Source organism: Homo sapiens, chromosome 14, assembly GCF_000001405.40.
Source record: "Homo sapiens chromosome 14, GRCh38.p14 Primary Assembly".
In the NCBI taxonomy this organism is placed as follows: Eukaryota; Metazoa; Chordata; class Mammalia; order Primates; family Hominidae; genus Homo; species Homo sapiens.
In genome coordinates, this window is record NC_000014.9 from 86,064,791 (window position 1) to 86,076,915 (window position 12,125).

A 12,125-nucleotide genomic window follows, 5' to 3' on the forward strand; every position below is an offset into this window, starting at 1 on the left:
CATGTCCTTTTCAGGAATGTGGATGGGTCAGGAGGCCATTTTCCTTGGAAAACTAACACAGGAACAGAAAACCAAATACACACTCTCAGTTATAAGTGGGAGCTAAATGATGAGAATGCATGGACACATAGAGGGGAACAACACACACTGGGGCCTTTCAGAGGGTGAAGGGTGGGAGGAGGGAGAGGATAAGGAAAAACAACCAATGGGAAATAGACTTAAAACCTGGATGATGAAACAATCTGTACAACAAACCCCCATGACACAAGTTTACTTATGCAACAAACCTGCACTTACAGCCCTGAACTTAAAAGTTAAAAAAAAAGTGCTGTAAATTAAGAGTGTACTTCCAAGGAGGACAAAATTTGCTGAAAAATCAATTAAAATGGGAAATGGGATGAGGTATAGTAATTCAAACAGAGGTTTTGTCTATATTTTGCCAAATAAATTTTTTCTTTAGCGTAAATTGACATAGAATATTTATTGTATGCATGTACCAAGCCAAAGTTTGATAGACCTGTAGCTCACTAAATTAATGTGTTTTCATGGTGTTGTGGAAACAGTTTGACTCTATTTTAGTGCTTTGCCAAACGATATTATCTCTTTTAGGCTAGCTCTCTTCAGTGTCAGTTAGCGGTTAGAAGTACAGACCTTAGAGTGTAACCTTGATTTCCCCATGTGCATATTTATTTAATTAGGCCAATTTTCTTACATATTTAATCTTTATTTAAATATACAGTATTACAGAGTGTTACATCTACAGTTTGTCACGTGTATGTACATGTGTATGATCTTTATTTGCAAAAGTAGTGCCACTGACAGTGGTTTTGATTAACTTGTGGATGTGGTTGAGAAAATGTACGCATCATTAACAGTGCTTTCCACATTGAACATATTACATTTGTGGTTGCAGGAGCTGTTTGCAAAACCTGTTGTGATTTGCTCTTGTCTTTTTCTGTTTGGTGTGAAATCTTTATCCAGAAAAAACTAATCTAGATTGTGGCAAAACCTACCTCTAATAGGGGATTCTGCTCTGTTAGAATGTAGGACATGTCACTGCAGTGATGCAGAGAGAAGGCTGGTAGTTTTTTTTTCCATCATTATTGATCTTTTTAATTTTTAATTTTTATGGTTACATAGTAGGTGTATTATTCATGGGGTATGTGAGATATTTTGATACAGGCATATAATGCATAATAATCACATCACGGCAAATGAGGTATCCATCACCTCATGCATTTATCCTTTGTGTTACAAACAATCCAATTATATGATTTTAGTTATTTTAACATGTACAATTAAATTATTATTGACTATAGTCATTCCGTTGTGTTGTCAAATAGTAAATCTCATTCATTCTTTCTAACTACTGTTTTTGTACCCATCATTATTATTGATGATAGTCTATCATTACTGCAGTTTAGCAGTAGAATTTATTGAATGAATTGTTAAATTGTACAAAATAGTTTTACCAAATATAGCATGGTCTATCTGATCATACCATGCTAAAGTACAGCATAGTCAGATAGAAATTAACATAGTATGGAATGGGAAAAATATCAAAATGCTGTCACTTTTTGTGGAAATAACATATGAATACAACTTATAATTTTTAAGTTATTAAACTATGTATTCAGGGTGTACACAAGAAAAGTAAAATGCAATGTTAGTGTTGTGTTACATGAATTATATTTTTGGGTTTTCCAAACTTCTTAGTTTATAGTGAAAGCATTATTCAGACATTGAAGCCACCGCTATTTATTGGTGCTTTCTGTTAATAACTCTATGACACTTCCACCTTCTAAGTCCTCACAAAGGCACTGGGAAGATTCACATTCATAACAAGTATGGAACCCAGAGTGGGGGGTTGTAGCTATGAAATTTACCTCTTAAACCCATAGCATATCTTTGGCAATGAAAATAAGTTACATTAAAATTTCCCCCAAGCCCTCCTCACCTTTGAGAATAATAATGTTCTTAATTCTACTAAAACATTTGAAAAGCTAGGACGAGTCCAAGAATCTGCCAAGAAGGGAAAACTACCAGGTGTTTAAATGGCGAGCATCCATGGGATACAGTTGAATGAATAAAGATGAATAGGGATGAAACATTTAGTTTGAAATAAATTTAAGTGAAAATTAATCCAGGCTATGACTGAAATATAATTTAATCTGTTCATTTTACTCTAGTTAACCCCTACATATAAAAATAAGCACTGAGAAAACAGGAACTTGGTATAATATATATTGTAAAAACATATGGTCAGTATCCAACAAGAGTGTCAACCTCAAAACCAAGAAAACATACTGCTCCCACTAGACAAAAATTAAAATTGGGAAGCCTGTTAAGTGCACAGCCAGAAAAAAATATGATGTATATTATAGGAAATGGGAAAGATAAACCAAACAGGAAAAGATAAAATATAAAGTTGCCAACTTTGTAAGAAATTTCATCAAGATGGGTCCTTATCTTTCACAGATAGATAATCATACCTATGATGGAAACTGTAAGCAAAGGATTGAGCCAGAACAAAATACTTTTCAGTTTCTGTTTATTCGTTATTTTTCTTTTATAGGAAACAAAATATCAATAGAAGCATAACTGGAGGTTTTTGGGATTAAGCCCTCGGCCAGTCATGTCTGCAGAGAACATATTTTCCTTGTTTCTAGTGGCAAATTATTTAGACGTTATCTTGGATTTTCTGAAACTTATAATTTCAAATATTTTCTTTATTTTAGACCACGTATCAAGGATTGAGTTTTGGTACATAAATAGTTTAGCATTTGCTTTTCTCTGAAAGATAGTGTATTAGTGTTCCCTAGAGAACAACACCAGTAGGGTGTGTGTGTGTGTGTGTGAATATGTGTGTGTGTGCATATGTTTGTGTGTATGTATAGAGAGAAGGAAAAAAATAAGTTAATTTATTTTAAAAAATTTAAAGGAATTCCAGTAAGTAATGCATATAACATACAAAATATGTGTTAATTGACTGTTTATGTTATCAGTAAGGCTGCCAGTCAACAGTGGGTTATTAGTAGTTAAGTTTTGGGGGAGTCAAGATTTATACACAGGTTTTTAATTGCTTACGGAGTTAGTGCCCCTCACTCCAATGTTGCTGAAGGTTAACGGTACTAAATTTAAAAAACAGTTATTCTTAAGTAGATCACATACACACATGTAAAATTACAACATGTGTTCTGTGTTCAAACATGTAAAGACATAACGCCGCATATTGTGCTTGATTTTAAATAATTAAAATTCTGCAGAAGTATAGTTTGATAATCGTAATAGATATTCCTAGGAAAGTATAAAGCCCAATTATTTTATATTTAGGTTGTTTCCAATATTGTTTTAGTTGTAAACATATGTGAACTAAATATGTCTAGCATTGGCATAATCATATTACCAGTTCACCTCTTTAATATCCAAGATGTTATGTTTGCTCATGCTCATCAGCTTCTTAATCTTATCATAGGTAAGGATGCTAAACACATTTCTACTGATTTCAAATTATTTAAAATATGTGAATAATTCTGTATATTTTTGTATTTAAGTGGAAAAATAGAAATTAATTCCATATATTTAATCATGATTTTTAGTATAATATTTTATGACCACATATCATAAAATCATTCCTATAAATGGTCAGAATTGTTAACATATGTTTAAAAGACTACTGGAATGAAAAGGATGTATTTTGGATATGAGAATGACATAGGACATGAATTTTGGAGTCCAGGATGAAATGCTATGGACTGAATTGTGTCTCTCCAAAATGCATATATTGAGATCTATCTTAGACAGCTCAGGCTGCTATAGCAAAATATCATAGATTAGCTGGCTTATAAGCAACAGAAATTTATTTATGATAGTTCTGGAGGCTGGGAAATACAATATCAAGGTGCCAGCAGATTCAATGTCTGGTGAGGGCCCATTTTGTTTTCCATAAATGATTGTCTTTCCCCTGTGTCCTCACATGGCAGAAGGAGTGAGGGACTTTTCGGGAATCCCTTTCGTAAGAGTACTAATCCCATTCATGAATGTTCTGTCTTCCAGATCTCATCATTTCTCAAAGAACCCACCTCCAAATACCGTCACATTGGTAATTAGGTTTCTACATATGACTTTTGAGAGGACATAAACCTGCAGTCTGTAACCACCCCTAACCCCCAATGTCATGGTATTTGAAGATGGGGTCTTTGGGAGACTATTAGATTTAAATGAGGTCATGAGAGTAGAGATTAATGTCCTCAATCTCCAACGATGGGATTGGTGGCCTTCATAAAAAAGGTGACAGAGTGCTTGCTGTCTCTTTCTCTCTTTGCCATGTGAGAACATAGCAAGAAGGCATTTCTGGCAAGAAACCAACAATGCTGGCACCGGATTTCTAGCTTCTAACCTGCCACCCAGTCCATGGAGTCTTGAGCAGACTAAGAAAGATACAGTAACAGAGAAGTAAGATTAAAATAAATATTCAAAAAAGCCAATGTTAAAGAAAAAATGAAATCCTTCAGTTAAATATCAAACCTGGTTATTGAAACTAAATGCTATGCAAAGTCACTGAGCTACTTGTGAAATATCAATATTGCATTATCAGCTGATTGAAGTGTCATATTTGCCCCAGTTTTGTCACTTGGATTCCATGTTCATAGTGTACATAGCATATATGGCCAGAAATTTTCAAAGTGCCTGAATATGTGTTGCCAGTTGTAAATACAACTATGTATTTGTCATCAGTTGATGAATCTCGTCTTATATCTTACTCAAATAGGGTAAATTTAAGATATCTTTAAATTTATTATAATGTCATTAAAATTAAAGAGCACCTTATAGTTTTATGCTTTACACATTTCATAATTTACTTAACAAAATAATTTATGTAAATAAACCACTAGATTAAAAAAAAAGTAATTCTAGTGGTTACACATTGGTCCCCAACCTTTAAATTTTCAGGTAAATTCTGTTATCATTCATGGTGGATGTGGTTCTGTCTTAGGCACTAGATATAGTTTCTTAGCCTTATCTTCAACAGCTGTGAAAGAAATCTTCTAGCCCTCTCTGATTTTAATTTAGATGTGGAATAGTCTATCCTGAAGCTTCTTCATCTATAGAGCCCTCTCCACTTAAACTTTAAGGAGCATGACTTGAGATTAGGAAAAAATGTTCTACAAGTTCCTTAATTGTTCTACCGAATCTCACAAGAAGCAGACAGAAGATTTCAGTTGGGTTTAAAAGATTGATAAGCAGATTTCAAAATGGCTCCAGGGCAGATCTTCAAACCATAAATAATACTCTCACTGAGAAATCATGCTTCTAAATATTTTAACTATCTGGAGAGAGTGCTCCTTTCTCAGAAAAGTATATGATGACCTTTCCTTTAAAATAAACTAAATTTATGTATACGTTAATAGTAAATAATTGGTATTCTCAATTTCATACATAATTGGTTTATTTTTCTGTCTTTGACTATTGACTAAGAAAGCACAGGCATCCATCTTAAAACGCCACAGGTAAGACGTCTTCAGAGGCCACCCCTCTAGACTGTGTCATGGAGGTATTGTCTGTGTGCACCCTCATAGAGGTGATGGAAGAAGGTGCATATAATTTTCCCAGAAAAGGATATTGCAGTGAATTATATTTTGCTAGATAAGTAGATGACTAGAGATAAATAGAGATAGCTAAGATAGAGGAAGAGATAGTCAGTGAATGGACTCAGATAAAGAATGCCTTAATTGTGTACTGGCTCTGCTACTCCTAACTGAACTTGAGCGCATCGGTTACTCTCTTTTTATGAAAATAGGATTGTAAAACCTATGAGATGATGGATGACAAAGTAATCTAATATTAGTGACTCAAATGGCACATCCTTGTTTAAATAATCCTAATGCAGTCTGACACATCCTTTAAAACACATGGGGAAAAAGGAGATAATGAAACTCCCGGTTGGAATAATGTGTGTTTGTCTATTCATCTAATTCTTCTTCCTTGAGAAAGAACTGTATTTGACCCAGCATTTTGAAAAGTTGTACCAATATTTGTATACAGCTTTCATATTTTTTTTTTCTCTAATAGGTGCTTTTTTTTCTGAAGCTTTGGTAGTGTAACTGTAAGAGTCCTGGAATTGGAAAAGCAAATCCAGAAGTTGAGTTCCATGACTTTTTTGCTGTTTGCCTTTGGGTAAGTCTACGATATCCAGTTTCTGCATCTCTCAATTTTGTTATAAAGACTAAATAAGGTAGTATACATGTACACATGTACAGCTAGACTGTAAATCACTATTCAAGTATGTGTTGTTTTCATCATGTTTCTATAGAAAAGAGGAAACTTTTCTATTATGTAATACGTTTTTAATTTACAAACTATAAACTTGATTACAATTTGTACTTGCCTTTGGCCATGCTGTGTTTTTTCTAATCGACGAGTGACTGTCATGCAAGAGGTTGGGGGGAAAAGAAAACCCGCATTCTTCACATAGCCCTTGCATTTAAGAGGTTAAAAAATTGTTTTAGGTCACAGACACCTCTGGTTTTCACAGTTTATCATGGTTTCATTTGAGCTTGGTGCCATGAAAGGTGTGATTGGTCTTAATATAGAGTTTTATTTCTAATTATTATTATTATTATTATTATTATTATTATTATTATTATTATTTTGAGACAGTCTCGCTCTGTCGCCCAGGCTGGACACTCTGCTCACTGCAAGCTCCGCCTTCCGGGTTCACGCCATTCTCCTGCCTCAGCCTCCTGAGTAGCTGGGACTACAGGCACCCGCCACCATGCCCGGCTAAGTTTTCGTATTTTTAGTAGAGACGGGGTGTCACCGTGTTAGCCAGGATGGTCTTGATTTCCTGAGCTCGTGATCCGCCTGCCTCAGTCTCCCAAAGTGCTGGGATTACAGGCGTGAGCCACCGCGCCCGGCCAGTTTTACTTCTTAAAGAAAACATCCAAGACAGAAAGATGTGCTTTGTTGTTGTAGTAGTAGAAGGAAGGAAGGAAGGAAGGAAGGAAGGAAGGAAGGAAGGAAGAAAGGGAGAGAGAGAAAGAGAGAAAGAGAGACAGAGAGGAAGGAAAGGAAGGAAGGAAGGAAGGAAGAAAGCAAGGAAGAAAGGAAGAAAGAAAGAGAAAGAAAGGGGGGGAGAGAGAGAGGAGGAAAAGGTAAAAAACATATATTAAATGTTGACACTGGCACCAATATTGAGAAAAGTATCTTCTAAAATCGGAGGTAAACACTACTACATTTTACTGTGCTTAAACATTGTTTTAATGTCCACCAAATGTAGGCACAGAAAAAAACCAACGTACACACATTTTACAGACTCTGACTAAAGGGGAAAACAATTCTAAAGCAGATGTTTCTTTTCTCCCTTTTGAACAAATATTTTATTGAAATTCTTCACACCAGACTTTATTAATTAATCTGAAAAAGAGAGTGAGGGTTGATGCTGATTCTAATCACAGGAAACAGATAACAAACTGTGGTCCATTTTTCCTGTCTCTGTCTGACATCAGCATCTGGTTCCTTGGCAGGCTCTGTCAACCTTTGCGTTGACATCCTAGGAGCTGCCTCAGCTCTGTCAGTTTCCTGGATGTCGCCGTTGGGCTGAGGCTCACCACAATCATTTTATTTTGTTGTTACTCGCACTGGGTCTTAATGAAATTCTTCCTTCTGCTTCTGCAATCATAGAAACATTATATGCAAAGTCAACTTAGTGATGTTTTTCTTTAATCCTGAGATGTCCATTTAAGTGCTTTATTTTTTAAGGTTGAATTTTAACTTAGATATGCTTTGAATTAGCCTAGAAGGATGGCTAAATGCAGGAGAGTCAAATAACTCCAAAGCAAAGCAAGAAGTTATTTACAGGGCCGTTGGAGTGCATAATGGGCCCACTGATGTGAAACCAAACCAAGGAAGGCTAGAATGAAAGGAAATGCTCCTAAATTTAGTCTCATTACTGGATTGCTTTGCTGAGGAAGGGGAGGACAAACCCAAGGTGGTGTCTAACACAATTGATCAAGAATTTAAAAACCTAGTACAGAGGGGAAATAGGAACAATCAAGGGATTACTCTTCTCACTTTCAAAAGTTTAAAGTTGCAATTAAATTTAATATAGTCATGGAATCTTGGAATGGTTTCAAGTGAAACACTATGTGTTGCAAATTAGACTATAAGACATTAGTAGCAATCATGTTAAAAATGTTGTCTTTATTATATATTTTGTATCATATATTTAATTTACATAATTTACTTAATGATCACAGCCATGCTACTGCTTCCTGGCAAGGAAAAATGGTATGAACCAAAGGGTATTTAAGTTATTAAAAATTTCAGTATTTTCACTTCAAAGCAGAGTTTTGGTCCTGGCTTCAAAATGTGGAAATGTTCTTTAAAATAGATTTATTTTTGTCTTTTTATAGTAAAATACATATATTTTGCATTATAAAATATTCAAACTATATTGAAAGTCATAAATATGGAATCTTCTCCATTTTCTTTTCCTTATACAATCTCCTCCCAAGAGATATCCACTGATCAACATTCTTCCTATGCATTTACATGTGTACAATTTACACAAAAAATTTATTTTTTAGACATAAATAGGATCATAATATGTGTGTTAGGACACTCGGTTTGATATACAACAAAAATGTTCTGGAGACGTTTTAATGTCAATTCATACTTTTTTTAATACCTGCATCATATTCCATATTGTGACTATTCTATGGATACATAACATACAGTTCCCCTTTTGAAGGACAATTGGGTCATTTCCAATATTTCAGAATGATGAGACAATATCACAATAAACCTTCTTATATATTCATAGGATTGTGCACATGTGTAAATATTTATTAAGAATAGAATTGTTGAAATGGAGCTTCTGGATTTAAAGATAGAACCATTTAAATTATTGGTGTATATTACCAAATAGGCTCAGTGAAATGTTTACTAATGTATTCTCCATCAATATTAGAGGTTCTGTTTCCCCACATCATTTTCCAACTCTTCCAATTGTTTATCTCTGTAATGAGATACCTCATTGTGTTTTTAGTGTATATTTCCCTGATTATGAATAAAGGTGAACTACTTTCATTTTTTTCACTTGTATTTATTCTACTGTGAATTGACTAATTAAATCTTAGACTCATTTTCCATTTAGTACATTTCATTTTCCAAGTTATATATGAGAATACTATGTATTCTGGATAATAAATCTTTGTTTATTAAATATGGTACCAATTTTGGCTTCAAGCCATAATTTGTATCTTAATTTTTTGATAGTTGACTTTATCATAATGAAGTTTTAAATTTTGACATAGTCAAATCTGTTGATATATAGCTTTTGGTTTGGGCTCTTTTTAGGTAGAGTTTTCATAATTCAAAGCTACTCAGAATTTTATTTGATATTTGTCTTTAACAGTGGTTTGTTTAGTTGTCTGTTCTTTAAACCATTAGTGTGTATCGCAGTGTGTAACATGGAGTAGTGTTCTAACTCAATTTTTTATTCTTCACTTATGGCAGTAATTTTCCACCAATTGTTGACTAAGAAATAATTTCTTAAATTATTTAAAATGCCCCCTTTATCTTAAATTTAAATCTCTTTAAACAAGTTGTTTTATTTCATTCTATTTCCTTTGTTGATTTGTTTTACTGCAACCCAAAATGATAAATACTGCAGTTTTATTTATTTTTTTGTTATTGTTTTTGTTTTATTATTATACTTTAAGTTTTAGGGTACATGTGCACATTGTGCAGGTTAGTTACATATGTATACATGTGCCATGCTGGTGCGCTGCACCCACTAACTCGTCATCTAGCATTAGGTATATCTCGCAATGCTATCCCTCCTCCCTCCCCCCACCCCACAACAGTCCCCAGAGTGTGATGTTCCCCTTCCTGTGTCCATGTGATCTCATTGTTCAATTCCCCCCTATGAGTGAGAATATGCGGTGTTTGGTTTTTTGTCCTTGCGATAGTTTACTGAGAATGATGATTTCCAATTTCATCCATGTCCCTACAAAGGACATGAGCTCATCATTTTTTATGGCTGCATAGTATTCCATGGTGTATATGTGCCACATTTTCTTAATCCAGTCTATCATTGTTGGACATTTGGGTTGGTTCCAAGTCTTTGCTATTGTGAATAATGCTGCAATAAACATACGTGTGCATGTGTCTTTATAGCAGCATGATTTATAGTCCTTTGGGTATATACCCAGTAATGGGATGGCTGGGTCAAATGGTATTTCTAGTTCTAGAACCCTGAGGAATCGACACACTGACTTCCACAATGGTTGAACTAGTTTACAGTCCCACCAACCGTGTAAAAGTGTTCCTATTTCTCCACATCCTCTCCAGCACCTGTTGTTTCCTGACTTTTTAATGATTGCCATTCTAACTGGTGTGAGATGGTATCTCATTGTGGTTTTGATTTTCATTTCTCTGATGGCCAGTGATGGTGAGCATTTTTTCATGTGTTTTTTGGCTGCATAAATGTCTTCTTTTGAGAAGTGTCTGTTCATGTCCTTTGCCCACTTTTTAATGGGGTTGTTTGTTTTTTTCTTGTAAATGTGTTTGAGTTCATTGTAGATTCTGGATATTAGCCCTTTGTCAGATGAGTAGGTTGCGAAAATTTTCTCCCATTTTGTAGGTTGCCTGTTCACTCTGATGGTAGTTTCTTTTGCTGTGCAGAAGCTCTTTAGTTTAATGAGATCCCATTTGTCAATTTTGGCTTTTGTTGCCATTGCTTTTGGTGTTTTAGACATGAAGTCCTTGCCCATGCCTATGTCCTGAATGGTAATGCCTAGGTTTTCTTCTAGGGTTTTTATGGTTTTAGGTCTAAGGTTTAAGTCTTTAATCCATCTTGAATTGATTTTTGTATAAGGTGTAAGGAAGGGATCCAGTTTCAGCTTTCTACATATGGCTAGCCAGTTTTCCCAGCACCATTTATTAAATAGGGAATCCTTTCCCCATTGCTTGTTTTTGTCAGGTTTGTCAAAGATCAGACAGTTGTAGATATGCGGTGTTATTTCTGAGAGCTCTGTTCTGTTCCATTGATCTATATCTCTGTTTTGGTACCAGTACCATGCTGTTTTGGTTACTGTAGCATTGTAGTATAGTTTGAAGTCAGGTAGTGTGATGCCTCTAGCTTTGTTCTTTTGGCTTAGGAGTGACTTGGCGATGTGGGCTCTTTTTTGGTTCCATATGAATTTTAAAGTAGTTTTTTCCAATTCTGTGAAGAAAGTGATTGGTAGCTTGATGGGGATGGCATTGAATCTGTAAATTACCTTGGGCAATATGGTCATTTTCACGATATTGATTCTTCCTACCCATGAGCATGGAATGTTCTTCCATTTCTTTGTATCCTCTTTCATTTCCTTGAGCAGTGGTTTGTAGTTCTCCTTGAAGAGGTCCTTCACATCCCTTGTAAGTTGGATTCCTAGGTATTTTATTCTCTTTGAAGCAATTGTGAATGGGAGTTCACTCATGATTTGGCTCTCTGTTTGTCTGTTGTTGGTGTATAAGAATGCTTGTGATGTTTGTACATTGATTTTGTATCCTGAGACTTTGCTGAAGTTGCTTATCAGCTTAAGGAGATTTTGGGCTGAGACAATGGGGTTTTCTAGATATACAATCGTGTCGTCTGCAAACAGGGACAATTTGACTTCCTCTTTTCCTAATTGAATACCCTTTATTTCCTTCTCCTGGCTGATTGCCCTGGCCAGAACTTCCAACACTATGTTGAATAGGAGTGGTGAGAGAGGGCATCCCTGTCTTGTGCCGGTTTTCAAAGGGAATGCTTCCAGTTTTTGCCCATTCAGTATGATATTGGCTGTGGGTTTGTCATAGATAGCTCTTATTATTTTGAAATACATCCCATCAATACCTAATTTATTGAGAGTTTTTAGCATGAAGGGTTGTTGAATTTTGTCAAAGGCTTTTTCTGCATCTATTGAAAAAATCATGTGGTTTTTGTCTTTGGTTCTGTTTATATGCTGGATTACATTTATTGATTTGCATATATTGAACCAGCCTTGCATCCAAGGGATGGAGCCCACTGGATCATGGTGGATAAGCTTTTTGATGTGCTGCTGGATTCAGTTTGCCAGTATTTTATTGAGGATTTT

The 12,125-nt window shown here is 35.0% G+C and overlaps 1 long non-coding RNA gene across 1 annotated transcript in view; it reads left to right on the top strand.

Moving 5' to 3' along the window:
* LINC02328 (long intergenic non-protein coding RNA 2328) overlaps window positions 1-12,125 on the top strand; it is a 195,101-nt gene that overhangs the window by 130,113 nt on the left and 52,863 nt on the right. The window contains exon 2 of the long non-coding RNA NR_110155.1: window positions 6,073-6,177. This is a non-coding gene — a long non-coding RNA (long intergenic non-protein coding RNA 2328). The remainder of the gene's footprint in view (window positions 1-6,072; window positions 6,178-12,125) is intronic.